Below are 18,678 nucleotides of genomic sequence, written 5' to 3' on the forward strand. Positions count from 1 at the left end.
CACGTCTCTTTGTTTCATTTACAATTTCTGCAATAGCATTGATTTACTTTGCCTTTAGTTTTGTTCACTGAGCAAAGAATTTTCTTTTGAGTTTTTGCTTTCTTTCTTTCTTTAATTGGTTAGCTCTGGTAGGTGATTTTGTAGATTTTTTGAGGGGGGGATTCAAAGCACTGATCAGTAATTCATAAAGCTGATTTTTTTTTCCACAGTTGAAATAGGCAGTGACATTTGGTAATTCACAAATGCTAGCCCTACTGTCCGCAGTGTTAAGATAACTGATTAGTTCCGCAGCCCTGCTCAACACCTCCCAGCATGCACCTATAATGGGCCATAAACTTGAAAGCCCCCAGGCCTCTTTCCCTGTTTCTGGGTGAGGTTTGCAGTGTGGAGGAGGGGCGCCAAGCCCAGTAAGAATGAGTGGGAAACACTGACAGAATCACAGGGGGAATGGGAAAAAAAGAACTTAAGAGGATTATAACAAGAAAGGAAGCTTTTGGAGTCCTGGGAGGTGATGCCAGTCAGGATCTCTGAATTGCTAAGAAAAGAGAAATTTTCCCCTTCCTTATGTAAGCCTGGGGCAGGGAATTTCTTTTTCCCTCTCCTATCCCTTTCCATCTTTCTTCACAGGTGGTGATGGTCCTGCCCTTAGGAAGGAAAGGGACCAGGCCAACCTTCCCAGAGAAGGAAGCTCCATTGAAAGGGTGGCTTTAACTTTACATGTTCACGGAGCAGGAAGGAGCAATCCAAAGAGGCATGTTTTTGCCGGACAAGCTGATGACATCTGAAAACCTCAGGCCAACCTGACTGAGTGGAATGTAGAAAATGGCTATTCAACGGTGACTATTCAATTTAGGGAGTTCTAAGAAGGGCTTTTCCATAAAAAGCCTTAGACTTTCCGAAGGAAGGTCAGGCAATATGAACCACTTAAATGAACATTTTAATCTTGAAGTGAGTTTTAATCATATTAGATTGTATAAGTCTTTTTTTCATGAACATGTTGCAAATATTCAGTACTAGAGAATACCGTAGTTTTGAATTTTTAAAGAATATTACTAGACTCGTTACTAGCCACATACTTTTTTTCTCATGAGCCTATTTCTGGTGCTTATACTTTAACAAATTGGCAAAGATATTCAAAGTTCTGAATATGTGGAGTTGCTGATCGTAGAGGTGAGAACTCTATTCTTTTTTTAAAAACAGGATAAATTTGCCTATAATTTGTTTAAGAATAGAGTCAAAATCTATGTCCTTTTTCCTTCTTTCCAGCGTTCAAGATGTGGAAGCGAGGACGTGGTGGGTCCTCTGGTGTGAACTTCCGGATTTCTGTGGGTCTTCCGGTAGGAGCTGTGATCAACTGTGCTGACAACACAGGAGCCAAAAACCTGTATATCATCTCCGTGAAGGGGATCAAGGGACGGCTGAACAGACTTCCCGCTGCTGGTGTGGGTGACATGGGGATGGCTACAGTCAAGAAAGGGAAACTAGAGCTCAGAAAAAAGGTACATCCAGCAGTGGTCATTTGACAATGAAAGTCATACCAGAGAAAAGATGGCGTGTTTCTTTCTTTTGAAGATAATGCAGTGGTCATAGTGGGCAATAAAGGCCAGATGAAAGGTTCTGCCATTACAGGACCAGTAGCAAAGGAGTGTGCAGACTTGTGGCCCCCGGATTGTGTCCGATGCTGGCAGCATTGCGTGATTCTCCAGTATATTTGTAAAAGCAAAACAAAACAAACAAAAAAATTTTAAACCCATTAAAAAGTATTTGTTCCCAGAAAAAAAAAGAGTAGTGTCAAAACACTTTAATAGAAGCCGATTTGTAAATACTTATGTTATTTTAATGTCCTACAAAATTATTTTTGAGGGACTGAGGCAACAGTGAACAGGTAATTGTTAAACCTTCACTATTCATTCAAAAGTAGGAGAGCTCTGGGGCAAGAATGGAGGGGAATTCATGAGTAGCCTACAGCTAAAATAATCCACAGGGAAAAAAACTCTTATCCTAACACCAATAGACATGTTTGTCTATGTGGCATGACCATTTCTCTGAGTTTTTTATCCAAAAGAAGAGTATGTGTTTAAGAAACTGCTCTGTGTGATGATTAAATGATTGTGAGTCCAATGCCTACCTTAAGCAGCGAAAGTGGCCAAGGAAGACATATTTCTTCCTTCATATTCTGCTTCTTTTCAGTGCTCAGGAACTCTGGTCAAAGGAACACCACTAGAAAACACTGAAGGAGGCATGTCAGGTGGTTCTGCTTCTCCATGGCTCCCTACGATGAATGCCTAGAGAGGGTATTGACATGGCAACCTGATGCCAGCACATCTGTCCACAGCTGGTGAGTCTCACACCCTTCAGTCACAGTGAGAGATGTATGATCTGGGCAAAAGCCAAGTCTTCAGGTTAAATCTCTCTCTCATCTCTTTTTTTTTTTTTTTTTTTTTTTGAGATGGAATCTCATTCTGTTGCCCAGGCTGGAGTGCAGTGGTGCAATCTTGGCTCACTGCAACCTCCACCTCCTGGGTTCAAGTGATTCTCCTGCTTCAGCCTCCCAAGTAGCTGGCATTTCAGGCACCTGCCACCATGCCTGGCTAATTTTTGTATTTTTAGTAGAGATGGGGTTTCACCATGTTGGCCAGGCTGGTCTCAAGCTCCTGACCTCAAGTGATCCACCTGCTTTGGCCTCACAAAGTGCTGGGATTACAGGCATGAGCCACCGCACCCAACCTGGTTAATTCTCTTAAGAGCAGCATTCAAAGTGCATTCTTATTTTGTCCTGGCTCTGAATCGACATGGTCAGGATGGAGGCAAACCTTTATGCAGAGCCCCCAGAATTATTAAATGGGACAGGCTCCTAATGGTGAACATACAGGAAGCTGATCCACGTAAGAGCTAACTAATCTTATTGAACAGTCACCTAGCAAACTGTTGGCTCATTTTTAATGGTCTGTTCTATCCCTTTATGCTGATTTGCTTGGAGGTAATAAGGCATAACGGTGTTGATTTAGGGAGCCTCTTGACTACAAATTCATCAGCTTGGTGGCGGTAATTGTCAGAGGCAACAATGGTGTTGTTCAGTGAGTTACACCTGGTCAGCACCTAAGGCTGAGTGTTGCAGCTGAGGTTTGAATCAAATTAGGAGTTTCAGTTCTTCTAGGCTAAAATCTGGTGACAGCCTCCTCCCTTTCTCATTTTATCTTAAATGATTTCTTCCTGGCTCATTCTCTTCTGGCCTCACCACCTTCTTTCTGTTACTTAAATAGGCCAAAATCATTCTTGTCGCAGGTCCTTTGCTCCAGCTGTTTGCATTTCTCCTAGATTTTTCTGTGAGGGGCTGGCTCCATCCTGTCAATAAGCCTAAACTCTAATATCACCTTCTCAGAGAGGTCTTGTGAAATTAGAGTACCATTTCTCTCATCTCTCACTTCAGCTATTATCAAATTGCCCTCTTTTGTTTTCTTCATAGCATTTATCACTCTTTAGAGATTATTATCTTTCCTTTCTCTTTTTCTTTGATGGCATTTTTTTTTTTTTTCTGAGACAGAGTGCTCTGTCACCTGGACTGGAGTGCAGTGGCACAATCTCGGCTCACTGCAACCTCTGTGTTAGGTCCAAATGCCAGGGTCTGGGTTCAGCCCATGCTGAAGTATGAGGGGAGTGGATGGATGGGCAGAAAGAGTACTTGGGGGGCCGTAGGCAGGTGAAATAGAGTTTTATTCAGCAGCTTTCTCATCAGTAGCATACTCACATTAGCTCTCTCACACTGTCCACCATTATCTCAGCTATTTGCTCCAGCTCTGAGACTCCTGCCACCCCCATGCCTGCAGCTGCAGCGGGATCTCCCTTGCCTTCAGGGTCAGCAGCTTAACTCTTTCTCTTTCTGGGTACTAGCACAAACTGTGCTGTGGCTCCCCTGCAGACGGACAGCTTTGGCTCTCTCTCTCTCTTTCTCTGGGTGCCAGCGTGCCTGCCATGTCAAGCCATGTTGAGCTGAGCTGAGCCACAGGAACCAAGCCAAGAGCCCCTGTAGAGCATCAGCAGGACAGTTATACCTCTTACAGACAATAGCGGCTTAGGGCCAAGTATGAACTTACACAGACAGGTTATATAACAAGTGGAGGTGTGCGCCTGTGCACCAGACTCACTGAGTCATGGAGGCCTGACGTCTGCCTTGGCCTATCCTTGACCAAAGCACATCCATGTACCTTACACTCCGCCTCTTGGGTTCAAGCAATTCTCCTGCCTCAGCCTCCCGAGTAGCTGGTATTACAGGCACATACCACCATGTCCCGGCTAATTTTTGTATTTTTAGTAGAGACAGAGTTTTGCCATGTTGGCCAGGCTTGTGTCAAACTACTGACCTCAAGTGATCCATCCACCTCAGCCTCCCAAAGTGTTGGTATTACAGGCGTGAGCCACCATGCCTGGCCTCATGGCATTTTCTATTTGAATTTTAAGTTCCATTTTAAGGTTAGGAGAACTGAACCTTAACACTGTGTCCCATGGACTCAACACAGGACCTGGCTCTTTGAACAAACTTGATAAATATTTGTTTACTGAATGAATAAAAAACATTCCCAGGCATGGTTGCTCATGCCTATAATCCCAGCACTTTGGGAGGCCAAGGTGGGTGGATCACCTGAGGTCAGGAGTTTGAGACCAGCCTGGCCAACATGATGAAACCCTGTCTCTACTAAAAATACAAAAATTAGACTGACGTGGTGGCGCATGCCTCTAGTCCCAGCTACTCGGGAGGCTGAGGCAGGTTCTGCTTCTCCATGGCTCCCTACGATGAATGCCTAGAGAGGGTATTGACATGGCAACCTGATGCCAGCACATCTGTCTACAGCTGGTGAATCTCACACCCTTCAGTCACAGTGAGAGATGTATGATCTGGGCAAAAGCCAAGTCTTCAGGTTAAATCTCTCTCTCTCTCTCCTTTTTTTTTTGAGATGGAATCTCATTCTGTTGCCCAGGCTGGAGTGCAGTGGTGCAATCTTGGCTCACTAAAACCTCCGCCTCCTGGGTTCAAGCGATTCTCCTGCTTGAACCCAGGAGGCAGAGGTTGCAGTGAGCCGAGATCATGCCACTGCACTCCAGCCTCGCCAACAGAGTGAGACTCCATCCCCAAAACAACAACAACAACAAAACATTCACATCCATAGTAACCTTTTAAAGCTCTGGGCCAACACCCCGTCTTTGCTTTCCTCAGCTGCCACACTGAATCATGTATGTTCAAGCCACCCATTTTCCTGACCAAACTAAACTTAATCAAATATGTTAACAGCCTCAGATTTCCCTTCAGATGGTGGTCACCAGCCCAGCCCTGGGTTTTGCAGGTCCATATGCAAATCAGGAGACAGAATCTTGCAGCCGGCCCTGAAGTCTGGGATCTGGAATCCTTTGCTCCCAAATGACCTTGAGACTCTGCAGAGATCTCAGGTCACCATTTTCCACTCCTCTATTAGTCCTAGTTTTTAGGACTATGCCACTGCTTGTTTTCTAACACCCTCCTTCTCTCCAGCCTGGGAACTGAAGGCCTGCCCTTGGCAAGGATCCTGTTCCACATGGACAAAAATGCCTAAATGACAACCATCTGCCATCTACTGGCTCTCTTTCCTTCCCAGCTTTCTCTGCCTACCCCCCACCCCCAACCAAGTTAATTACTGCTTGACAATCCAGAAAGTCCTGGAAGGCTGGAGAAGGCAATGCCACTACACCTCCCTGATCAGGATGGCTTGCCTTTGGAAGAAAGAAAAACAGTGGATAGTTAGTAGCTTCAGCAAGGCTTGAAATTCTTGCTTTGCTATTAGAGTAAGCATTTCTTGTATTTTACATGTTTTATTTCAAATGCAGCATTGGTATGATCAGATAAGCTGACACTGGAATTTCTGATTTTCCCTTTTCCTCTTTCTCTTTTTTTTTTCTTTTTATTGACATCTGTACTTTAAGAATGTAAATGTAGGGATTCTGGTACTTTTCTTAAAATCCAACTTTTCTTGATACCATATCTTGTTTGAAGTATGTAAACAAGCTGTTGTGTTCTCTGGTGCCAAGTGATAGGAAGGAAGAGGGGAAGTTTAGCTTTGTATTCTCCTGGCTCCTCCCCAGTGTATTGCTAGGCAGGCCACAGCTCCTGCTGTGAGGACTTCTGCAGCTATAGCTCCCTGGTACCTCCTCTCCCTCCTGCCCAGTCAGGCCTAGGAGTGGTAATAGTGCCCCACTTTGCTACCCCTAGGGTGCTTCACCCTTCTTGGTTTCTCTTTTCTCTTCCTGCACCTTTGTAAATGGTTGCTTTATTAAGCTTTATCTAATTATCTGTTGGAGGGTGTCATTTGTTTCTAATGAGACCTTAAGTATATGGGATATGAATTAGGGTAAAAGCATTAGTCCATGAGATATGGTATATGGTAAAAAATGTTTAGAAGAAGACATGGGAGAAAATCTTCAGAACCTCGGGCTAGGTGAAGAATTCTTAGACATGACACCAATATTATAATTATATAAAAGAAAACAAATAAATTGGCTTCTTCGATACTAAAAACTTTTGCTCAATGAAAGATGGTAGTAAGAAGATGAAAATACAAGCTACAAATTTAAGGAAAACATTTGTCAACCACTTCCAAACCATATATGTGATAAAGAACTCTCAAAACTCAGTAGCAGGCCCGGCACAGTGGCTCACGCCTGTAATCCCAGCACTTTGGGAAGCTGAGGCGGGTGGATCACGAGGTCAGGAGATCGACACCTTCCTGGCTAACATGGTGAAACCCCGTTTCTACTAAAAATACAACAAATTAGCCGGCGTGGTGGCGGGCGCCTGTAGTCCCAGCCAGCTACTGGGGAGGCTGAGGCAGGAGAATGGCGTGAACCCGGGAGGCAGAGGTTGCAGTGAACCGAGATAGTGCCACTGCACTCCAGCCTGGGCGACAGAGCGAGACTGCATCTCAAAAAAAAAAACAAAAAACAACAAAAAAAAAAACTCAGTAGTAAAACAATCCAGTTGAAATCAAAATGACTAAAATGTTTTAAAAAAGAAGTGATAACACCAAATGCTGGCAAGGATGCAGAGAAATTGGATCCCTTATACATTACTGGTGGGAATGCAAAATGGTACAACCACTTGAAAATAGTTTGGCCATTTCTTAAAAATCTAATCACATTTTACCATACAACCCAGCAACGATACTCCTGAGCATTCAACCCAAAGAAAAGAAAACTTATGGACACCAAAATGTATTTGCAAATGTTTATAGCAGCTTTATTTGTAATAGCCAAAGATTAGAAACAACCCAGATGCCCTTCCATGGGTGAATGAATGATCAAACTGTGTTGCATCCATACTATAGAATACTACTCAGCAACAAAAAGGAATCAACTATTATTACACATGTAACAAGTTGGATGGATCTCAAGGCAATTATGCTGAGTGAAAAAGAGGTTATAAACAGAAGGTAACATACTGTATTATTCTATTTCTATAACATTCTCCAAATGACAAAATTATAGAGATGGAGAACGGAGTAGTTGTTGCCAGAGGATAGAGATGGTCTCTGGGAGGGAGATGGATGCGTATAACTATAAAATAGAACTATTAGGGATCTTTGTGGTAATGAAACAGATCTGTACCCTTATCACATCTACATGTAATAAAATTGTCTGAATCACACACATATGTACATACACACAAGTACCTGTCAACATTGGTGAAATCTGAATAAGACTGTACTTGTACCAACGTCATTTTCTTGGTCTTGATATTGTATTAGTTATGTAAGATGTTATCTTTGAAGGTGAAAATGGGTGAAATACACATGGGACTTCTTTGTATTATTTTGGCAACTTCTTGTGATTCTGTATCTATTTGAAAATAAAATTGGCCCCTAACTGGGACCATTAACTTGGGAAATATGTCATTTTATTCTTTAGCATGAGAGAAGGGGGAAGAGGAGGGTACTGCCACAAGTACTTTGCTGTTAGCTATATGTCATTGCTAAGCTCTATCATTAATTGTTAAATTGACAAACGGACTAAAGTCAAGATCCCAATATTCCAATGGAAATATTTTATTTTCAATTGTTGTTTAATGTAAAAACATAAACTTGCCTTAAAAATGGGTTTTCCATATACTGTTTTCCTGTGGAAGTATTTCCAGGAAAGAATATCAAACCTATAGAACGTTTTCTCATTGTACAAATGTAAAAATACAAAATACTATTAATTTGCTCCTTAAGAATGCTCAAACTTGTGCAGAGACTTTACACATCTTCAGGGAACCTTGGTTACCCTTACAGAGACTTTCTAAAGATATATCATCATTCACTGATGACCAAAAACTGTAGTAACTCCAAACACACTCTTCACAAAAAGAACACAAGAAGGAACACTGATGGAGGCAGTGTGTCATTTCAGAAGGCTGTGGCTGCTGTGAACTTTGTCTAACCAGGGTGATGAGCTTTTCTCTTTGGTTACAGACAGAGAACTTGGCTTTCAAGTCAGGGCACTCACTAGGGTTTGGACAACAAGGGAGAAGGTGGACAACATCAAACATCTCATTAATTCAAGTAAACATGGAGACAACCTGATTTTATTCAATCTCAAAATTATATACTTCTTGAAAGGCTGACATAATATTTCCCAATAGCTCTGTGTCAAAAAATAGATTTAAAATACATGATAGTGTTCCAGACATTTGTATATGTTGCTGTCATTATGTTAACAGTTCCTTGACAATTTTTATAAAGACCTCAAAAATTTTTCTAAAAATTGTTCCCAAAGCTTGGAGTGCATGCTTTGCCTGTACTACCACCTTCAGGAAGACTTATGTAGTGCCTGGCACTAATGTACTTTCAAAAGGACACTAAATATTACCCTTGCAATCTCTTCTTTTTCTTCTAGAGACATGTAAATTCCTCTTTTTTATATACCCATGTTTTGACTCATTCAAGTTATAAACATATTTTTTGAATAAATAAATGAAATTCATGACTCAATAAGGACTTGCTATCTTCTAATTTTATAGATTAAAGACATTTTATGGCATAATAGTGTTGTGGGACTTTTTGCTTAGTTCAGCTAAAGACAGGGTTCCTTATCACATGGCCACGAAAAATTAGGCTCACAGACAATTTGAAGCGAGAGGAGGGCAGGGTTTATTGGGTGAAATGGAAGAAAAGGGGAAACAGAGACTCTTAGCAAAGCGAGAGAGTGTGCTTCCTGCCACTGGGCTTCCCGCCTCACAGATTGAATCCCAGGTTCCACCCAGGAAGAGGAGGGGCCAAGCTCCTCCCGCTGCAAACGCGCGAACTTCTGTGGCTCGATCCCAGTGCGCACTCCTCCCAGTGCACTGGCCGGTTGGAGTTTTGCCAGGGAGGCCTTCCCACCTGCCTGTCTCAATGGAAAGAATATGTGGATTTGGATTCAGGGACACCTTTATCACCTATGTGACTTTAGGTAAGTTACAAACACAGTGAGCCTCAGTTTTTGTACTAGTAAAACCTATTATGGCACAGGTTTGCAGGACGACGAATGAGGTCTTGACCGCTGAGGTGATTTATAATGTACTTGTATTAGGACTGGAGTTAGTGTGCTAACTCAGAGGCCACAGTTAGTGGTACTGACAGAGATTGCATTTAGGTCTTCCCAAGGGTGGTTCCGTTCTTTAACCTTAGATGTTTTATTTTATTTACTTATTTATTTATTTATTTATTAATTTTTGAGACGGAGTCTTGCTCCGTCACCCAGGCTGGAGCGCGATATCGGCTCACTGCAAGCTCCGCCTCCCGGGTTCACGCCATTCTCCTGCCTCAGCCTCCCCAGCAGCTGGGACTACAGGCGCCCGCCACCGCGCCCGGCTAATTTTTTGTATTTTTAGTAGAGACAGGGTTTCACCGTGTTAGCCAGGATGGTCTCGATCTCCTGACCTCGTGATCCGCCCGCCTCGGCCTCCCAAAATGCTGGGATTACAGGCGTGAGCCACCGCGCCCGGCCAATGTTTTCCATATTTAGTGTTGTCACTCATCTTTTAGCATGGGCAACTAAAGCAGGTCTGAGGACAGTGCGTATAGTTTTCTGCAACATGACACAAAGAGTACCAGGGCGAGATTATGTCTGTCACAGATGAAAATATTCCATTTGTGTGTCATAGTAATCTATTCATTGGTTTATGGACCCAAAATTCTCCAGGGGGACTCACAAATCCCCATAATGTTTCTATGTGCCAGATTTTTCATTTGGAGCTCTGCTTTAGTTGACAGATGTGTAAAAATCACATGTAGCCAAATGACTCTTCAGTCAGCACTAAGCTGATAATGCTGAAGACTGGTTATTCCTGCTAAGATTCACTGGACCCTCTGCCCAGACTGTGTTTTTCAAATCTCATATTAGAGCTTAATGTTATTTTATTTTAATGCCAATGCTGTGCTCCCCAATGCCATATCTTTAAACTATTGTGCCCCATTCTAATACAAACACTAACTTACATGGGGAGCTCTCTTTTGAGGAAGTCGAAGTAGATCAGTAACTAAATTCAGTTCCTTAAAGGTGTAAAACTCTGAGAGAGTCACACACAAGTCAGATTGGGAGAAAGTTTCTTAGAATAATAAATTTTAAAATCTTACATGGGGAGCTCTCTTTTGAGGAAGTCGAAGTAGATCAGTAACTAAATTCAGTTCCTTAAAGGTGTAAAACTCTGAGAGAGTCACACACAAGTCAGATTGGGAGAAAGTTTCTTAGAATAATAAATTTTAAAATCTTAAAGGTTAAGAATTAGTTGGATGTTAAATATTGAGTCTCAACTGTATCATGTCACTGGTATACGGAGGTAAGTTGACTTGCCCAAAATCTGCTGAGAGTAACTGGTAGAGCTAGAATTTGCATCCACATGTCTTCTGGTTACCCCAGTTTGAGTGCTCTTTTGGCACTCTTACTATCCTTTACATAAAAATATTGTGTATTGGTAGGACAGTTTTAGTAAGCACAGAAATTATATTAATGGCAGTGCTATATCAAGAAGTGGACAAATTCCTGTGTTTTGTTTTAGATTTTGTGATGATGATAGTGGCCCTTAAGTAGCGATAGCTATGTGATAGAAAAAAATTTAACAAATTTTGCTGCATCAATATTTTGCGCTTTGTGTTGTTTCAGAGTATATTTCCCCACCCCCTTTTTCTCTTCAACTGGGAAAACAAACGCAAAATATGATTCTACATAAAAAATTTCATTAGTTTGATTTTTTCTTAGAAATTCTATTCTTCTTCTTAATATATGACAGCTTTTAAAAATGGCTTTATTTCTTTAAAAAGAAATAAAAATGGGTTTCAATTTGCAGTGCAGGCAAGGTATATCAAAATATGTGCTAGGATATATAGCAGGGAAGTCTAGCCTGAAATAGAGTAGAACTGTGATATTTATAAATATTTACAAATGAATCTTTTAGTCACTTTTCAAATCCCTGAATTTCTAAATAGTGCTTTGGCTGCAAAAAAACTAAAAATCTAGTACTTCCAAACATCATGTAGAGAATGTAAATGGTGTAATTCTAGAGGAAGACAGCAGAGAAGAGTGAGGAGTATGGTTCACTGGAAAGTGCATGACCTATCTTCAGGGGCCAGTTCGTAATCAACTTTAGTCCTGTGATGTCATAAGGGAATGCAAATTTAGTATTAAGTGTTCCTGATTTTCTTTTTTGAGAAGTTTGAAGTATTGTTTTTTTTCTTTAATGATGACAACTAATTTCAATTTTAAAAAACATCCAGGCCAAATTAAATATGTCTGTCATTGTATCTGGCCTGTGGGTCTTTAGCTTTTGACCTCTGATCTAAAGCATTTAATTCCTTCCTATAAAATTTAGTCGTGACAAGTAGAGTGCAGCAAAGCTGAATTAAAAGCAGATGCTGGACGGTCAGCCATGCTCAGCCCTTAACACTGCTCTTTGTAACTACATGATTCAAATTCAGGATTTAGAAAAATAATACATTCCTTTAAGCCGCGGGTCTCAAGATCTCTGATGGAAACTGCATGATATCCTTACAGCCAATATTTCCTGTATTTGAAAGCTGGGTTAACTCTCATTGATCTGGAAAGTTCTCTGTGGTCCTTTTTTTTCTCGTTCTAAAAAACCCAAAAAACCAAAACAAACTAACCGAAGGGATTAATCTCATGATAGGTAGAAGGCCTTAAATCGTAGGGTCTTACACTGAGAGCAGCTCCTGCCAGCTTCCTCAATACACGTGGCTGGTTTGATTAAGATAAAACCATGATATTGAAAGAATTTTGTTATCTTCTTTCATTAACACTTTTTAAATCCAAATACTCTTATTTATTTACAATTTTATATTTTGCAAAGATGAAACCAATGTCTCAGGAATGAATGATTAAAAAACTAAAAAAGTAATTACTATAATACAATTTAGCATTATGAGAAAGAAACCACTTTTCTGGAGTATTCTACATTGCGTGTACATATATTTCAGTCTAGGGTTGTTACGCTTATTAGTAACAGTTTGATGCAAAAACTCATTAAGAATACTAAAAACTGCTCTTATGTTAAATTCAACAGTCTTTATTGGATTTATCACTTTAAAATAGCTGTTCTCAAATTTTATCATCTGTGTAGTACTAGTCTACAATGATGGCTACCAATAGCTCTTCCTAACCCTGTACCTTCACGGTGCCCCTTCCATCAAAAGGTAGAGTCTTGTTTCCCTTTCCTTGAATCTGGTCAGGTCACATGACTTGCTTTGATCAACAGAAAGCAGCAGAGGAGTCTCTGAGTCAGTTCTGAGACTAGCTCTGAAGAGACCTGGCAATTTTCTTTTCTTTTTTTTGAGACGGACTCTTGCTCTGTCGCCCAGGCTGGAGTGCAGTGGCGCCATCTCGACTCACTGCAACCTCCGTCTCCCGGGTTCATGCCATTCTCCTGCCTCAGCCTCCCGAGTAGCTGGGACTACAGGCGCCCGCCACCGTGCCTGGCTAATTTTTTGTATTTTTAGTAGAGACGGGGTTTCACCGTGTTAGCCAGGATGGTCTCGATCTCCTGACCTCGTGATCCGCCCGCCTCGGCCTCTCAAAGTGCTGGGATTACAGGCGTGAGCCGCTGCGCCTGGCCGAGACCTGGCAATTTTCATGTCTATGATCTTGGAAATAAGCTTCCATGTGAAGAAGCACAGAGTAGACTACTGAATGGGGAGGGACTAGAGGAGAGAGAGAGATTCCCCATGGAAGAGGACTTTGGTGCCCCATTGAAGGTCAGCACCAAGTGCCATGAGTGAGACCCTCTTGGGTAATTCCGTCCAGTAGAGCTCCCAACAGAATGCAGCCATTTCAGTGACGTCAGCTGATATCACTATGGAGCACAAGTCCAGCCAATCCACAGAATTGCAAGAAAAAAAACCAGTCATTATTTTGAGCCATTACATTTTGGAATGGTTGTTTATGCAGTGGTAAATAACTGGCATGACCTGCTTGTTACTAATACTGAGATCTTGGCACCTCTTGCAGAGATTCTGACTCAATAGGTTTGGATGAGGCTTGGGAATCTGCTAGTTTAACAAGGTCCTGGAGTAATTCAATGCCAGGTAGTATTTTCAGAACCACACTCAGGACCATTACTCTGAAGTACTCCCAGGGATTATTCAAGAAATTTATTGTCAAATATGAAGAAAATATTAGAATTTCTGTTTCTGTATTTCTTTGGTCTAAAAAATTATAAAGAAATTATGCTTGACTATGATTGATATCCTGTATATTAGGTGCTCATGTGATTTTTTGGGCATGTTATCCTTCAAATAGAAGGGACCGTCTAATGTAAAGAGGAGTGGACATTCTCTTCTTTCATTCCTTTCGGAGCCACCTAGCTTACATGTGTCTATCCTAAGTGAATCTATGGATTATACTATAGAATATGTTTATTATGGAATCTTCCCAGTGTTTAGTCATAAGATGGGGGGTTGACCATGAAAATCTCTTATGCCTTACGTACAGTTCAGTGGTTACTTTGAGACAAAACATTTGGAATTGTCAAATTTAAAGACAAATAGTTCACATTGCTTTTACAAAATACAAGTTTCCAAGTAGGCTGACCTTTCTGTGATATGTAACTGTGAATAGAATGCTACCTAGTAGAAAATTAACATAGGCACGTACACACACATACTTGCTCACTTCCTTTGTACCCACACAATAACAGCAGTTTTCACAGTAAGTGAGAGTTTCTTTTTTTTTTCTTTTTTTGTTAAGGAGTGTTTAAAAATAAATGATGGGAAATGTTTCCATTGTTATATGATTTTGCAGAAAATGATGTGTTACATAAGAAATTGCTTATTTTGGTACACTTCAAAAATTTTGAACCAGAACTTAAAAATATTTTTTCATATCTTCCAAGTTAAGAATTTTTATGTGTTTGAACACATTTATGATTAGTTTGCAACAATGATTGGACATTAGAGAAAATGGAAATTTATTGGCTGAATTTCACCAAAAATCATCATATTTGGGTGAGGGATTAAAATACGAGCATCATGGTTGGGCAGGTGGCTCACACCTGTAATCTCAACACTTTGGGGGGCTGAAGTGGGAGGATCCTACGAGCCCAGGAGTTTGAGACCAGCCTAGGCAATATAGGGAGACCCTGTCTCTATGAAAAATTTTAAAAATTAGCCCTGCATCAGGGCACACACTTGTGGTCTGAGCTACTTGGGAGGCTGAGGTAGCAGGATGGCTTGAGCCCGGAGGTCGAGGCTGTAGTGAGCTGTGATTGTGCCACTGCATTCCAGTCTGGGCGAGACCCTGTCTCAAAAAAAAAAAAAAAAAAAAAAAAAGTGCATCGTGATTTACTAAGCACAGCCAAATGATGCAGTTCTTGCATTTGGGATTTATATATATTTATGAGAAATCTTTTTCACCTATCATTAAAAAATCATAGCAAAAGAAACTGAACTTAGAAGCAGACCTTCAAATCCTGTCACAAGTTGTTAAACCAAAATTGGTGAAAATATTCAAACATATTATTGTATTAATTTAATTAACATTGTATTTTTAATGAGAGTTTTTTTTTTTTTTTTTTTTTTTTTGAGACGAAGTCTCGCTCTGTCACCCAGGCTGGAGTGCAGTGGTGCGATCTCGGCTCACTGCAACCTCCGCCTCCCTGGTTCAAGTGATTCTTCTACCTCAGCCTCCCAAGTAGCTGGGATTACAGGCGCCTGTCACCACGCCTGGCTAATTTTTGTGTTTTTAGTAGAGATGAGGTTTCATCATGTTGGCCAGGCTGGTCTCAAACTTCTGACCTCAGGCAATCCACCCACCTCAGCCTCCCAAAGTGCTGGGATTACAGGCGTGAGCCACCGCGCCTGGCCGAGAGTTGTGTTTTTAAAAATACTATCACCTAATAAAATACTGTATGCTTTATTATTTTATTTGGTAAATTTTCTTTTTTATTTTAGATATACCTAATATAACAGCACACGTATATAATTTTATTATTTATTTATTTTTTGAGACAGAGTTTTATTCTCGTTGCCCAGGCTGGAGTGCAATGGCACTATCTTGGCTCACCGCAACATCTGCCTCCTGGGTTCAAGCGATTCTCCTGTCTCAGCCTCCTGAGTAGCTGGGATTACAGGCATTTGCCACCATGCCTGGCTAATTTTTGTATTCTTAGTAGAGACGGGATTTCTCCATGTCAGTCAGGCTGGTCTTGAACTCCGGACCTCAGGTGATCCACCTACCTTGGCCTCCCAAGTTGTCGGGATTACAGGCGTGTGCCACTGTGCCCAGCCTATGATTTTAAAATGAAAAATTTACAACTACTTGCAGTTCATACTTGGACATTTTTTACTGATGGAGTGTATTATCTAAAAACTTGGGAGACCAAAATTCTAGAATATCAAGAATTTTTTTTTTTTTGAGACAGGGTCTCACTCTGTTGCCCAGGCCTGAGTAGAGTGGTGCAATCACAGCTCACTGCAGCCTCAACGTCCCAAGCTCAAGTGATCTTCTTGCCTCAGCCACCTGAGTAGCTGGAACTACTATAGGCATCCACCACAACACCAGGCTGATTTTTAATTTTTTTGTAGAGACAGTTTCACCATGTTGCCCAGGCTGGTTTTGAACTCTCAAGTTCAAGCCATCCTCCCGCCTTGGTCTCTCAAAGTGCTGAGACTACAGGCGTGAACCACTGTGCCTGGCTCAAGGACTTTTTGGAGTATCTTCCATGTTTGTCATTGTGTGGGAAATAATGTAATTCTGATTGCTCATTGGTGACAGGGCTATAGAGCAGGAACATAGTGTTTCAGGCCTTTCTTGGATGAGAGAATGGGGTCCTGGCTTAGATCAATCTTTTGGCAGATCACTTGCAGTTGATATTGTTAGAGTCTACTCTAAAATAACATAATTATACATAGATGGTGCCTTATGAGAATTCTATTTAGTGTATACTGCAAAGGATAGCACATTTCTTAATACATTATCTTTTTCTTCTATATTCTAGAATTGACATTTAGCTCTCTATCTTGAAAATAAACCATCCTGACAAAATTACTTTTTAAAAAATTCTACTTTTTCATTTTTTTTTTTTTTTGGCCTGATGCTGTGAGAAACATTAGCAAGCAGAAACTAAACTTCATCCAGCAGAGATTCCCGGTCATTTTAGCTTTCAGGAAGGGAACCCACTATTTTTCTCATTCTGGCTCTCTGGGAAAGCAGAGAGGGAACATTTTAGTACAAGCACTTCTCACCTGTATAGTGTATGGTGAGTGCATCATTAAACAGGGGCACGTGCTTGTAGGCAAAAGTGCATTTCAGTAAGTGGATTGAAACCTTGCTGAATTGTGCTGAAGCAATTTAAACCTCCCATTCCATTTTACTATTGGAGAATTTCATGATAAGCAACTTGTATAAAGAAGAATACTATAGAAAAACATGCTCTGTGGTAAGCACTTGAGGTGGCTATATAGTCTCAAAATGCAAACCTTCTTTTAATTTATCAGGAATTTTCCCTTGATATTATAGATGTTGTAAGATTGGACACCACAAATGCTAAGCCAACATAGATGAAATATATGTTATTTTCATAGTAGAAGGTGTAATATAAATAAAAGGAAAGGCCTTTAGAAAACACTTTCCATTCACACTTTAGTCCTTTGGTGATTTTCTATAATATATTTAAATGAGTGCTATAGTTCACCCAATACATATCTGACAATGTAGTTGCTCACATTTTTATCATTTTATCAACTGGATGTGTTAAATTCTTATTAATTATTTACAAATGCCCTCCCTCCACCCTGGCCTTTTAAGACTCTCTAAGAATGGCATATAATCCCAGGAACATTTTTATTACATTTGTTTGTGGAGGGGCCTAGTGGGTGAAGGTACAAATTTGGGACATTTCTTCAAAGAAGAAAGGGACGGAGACAGTAAGAGGGGGATCAGAGTTTGAGGAGAAAAAAGGAAAAAGATTCATGTAACAGGATAAGGGAAGAGAACCTGAGGGATTTCAAAAAAGGAGAAAGGAGATGAGGGATAGAGGAGAAAGGGTTTTTTAAAAGATTCCCTCCCTCAGGTCCTCGCTTCCAAGACGACAAAGAAAAGAAAGAACAATGGTGGTGCCCAAAAGTGCCATGACCATATGTAGCTTATTTGCTGCACAAATTGTGCCTAATGCATGCCCAATGCTATTAAAAAGTTCGTCATTCGAAACACAGTAGAGGCCACAGCTGTCAGGGACATTTCTAAAGTGAGTATCTTCAACAGCGAAGTGCTTCCCAAGCTGTATGGGAAGTTACGTTGCGCTGTGAGTTGTGCCATTCACAGCAAGGTAGTCAGGAATCGATCTTGTGAAGCCTGCAAGGACCGAACACCTTCACCCAGTTTAGACCTGCGGGTGCTGCCCCATGACCCCCGCCAAAGCCCATGTAAGGAGTTCAGTCCTTAAGGACTGATGAAAAATTATCCTCTGGAGAAAAAGAAAATGGAAATTGTACCTAAAAGAAAAAAAAGATTGGTTACGTTGTCCGTTATGTAACTCCTCTTTTAGCCTGCCAACAAAGCCTCATGTAGAATTCAGTTGTTCAATGCTTTTGGAGTGTTTCTATTTGTTTTTGGTTCTGAATGTATGTGTGAAGCTGGCTTTAAAGTATCAAGGGGTTTGAAAGAGCAGAAATCTTTTAAAGTTTTGGTTAAAATAAGCAGTGGAGTACTAAGAGGCAGAATGTGGTTGGGTTGGGTGAGTTGCTTTGGTAGAAAGGAATATCTTACCGTGGATATCATTTAGAGCTTTCCATGCATGCTGTTAATAAAGAACAGACTGATTTTTACGCACTTCTGTTGTTTTAATATTTGCGACTCATGTGTCTCGGGTGCCCAGGCTGAGTGCTTCCACTATCCCACCTTGATCTGTCATTGGAAGTCAGCAAACAGCTTTAATTTAAAATAAGCCAGGCACGGTGGCTCATGCCTATAATCCCAGCACTTTGGGAGGTTGAGGTGGGAGAATCACCTGAATCCGCGAGTTCAATAGCAGCCTAGGCAACATAGTGAGACTCAGTCTCTACAAAAATAAAAAGAAAAAATACATCTGGGTGCAGTGGTGTGCACCTGTAGTCCCAGCTACATGGGAGGCTGAGGCAGGAAGATGCTTGAGCCCAGGAGATCGAGGCTACAGTGAGCCATGATCATGCC

General features: G+C 41.0%; 1 long non-coding RNA gene and 2 pseudogenes across 2 annotated transcripts in view, besides 2 other annotated features; all 3 read left to right on the top strand.

Moving 5' to 3' along the window:
• Positions 867-2,066: an enhancer, noted in NCBI's record as "BRD4-independent group 4 enhancer chr7:20866537-20867736 (GRCh37/hg19 assembly coordinates)". NCBI's record gives its function as "activates an origin of replication core promoter dependent on BRD2, P300/CBP, MED14 and CDK7 cofactors, and independent of BRD4, by STARR-seq in HCT116 cells {active_cell/tissue: HCT116}" and the evidence as "EXISTENCE:reporter gene assay evidence [ECO:0000049][PMID:35650434]".
• Positions 1,247-1,769, top strand: RPL23P8 (ribosomal protein L23 pseudogene 8; annotated as a pseudogene). Its single transcript, NR_026673.1, has one exon. The product of NR_026673.1 is annotated as a ribosomal protein L23 pseudogene 8 (transcript).
• Positions 8,814-9,314: an enhancer, noted in NCBI's record as "H3K4me1 hESC enhancer chr7:20874484-20874984 (GRCh37/hg19 assembly coordinates)". NCBI's record gives its function as "activates a minimal SCP1, AML or CMV promoter by ChIP-STARR-seq in naive H9 embryonic stem cells {active_cell/tissue: H9 hESC(naive)}" and the evidence as "EXISTENCE:reporter gene assay evidence [ECO:0000049][PMID:30033119]".
• Positions 9,380-18,678, top strand: part of LINC01162 (long intergenic non-protein coding RNA 1162) — a 187,718-nt gene continuing 178,419 nt past the window's right edge. The window contains exon 1 of the long non-coding RNA NR_126381.1: positions 9,380-9,453. This is a non-coding gene — a long non-coding RNA (long intergenic non-protein coding RNA 1162). The remainder of the gene's footprint in view (positions 9,454-18,678) is intronic.
• Positions 17,579-17,916, top strand: RPS26P30 (ribosomal protein S26 pseudogene 30; annotated as a pseudogene).

This window comes from Homo sapiens, chromosome 7 (genome assembly GCF_000001405.40).
Source record: "Homo sapiens chromosome 7, GRCh38.p14 Primary Assembly".
NCBI lineage: Eukaryota > Metazoa > Chordata > Mammalia > Primates > Hominidae > Homo > Homo sapiens.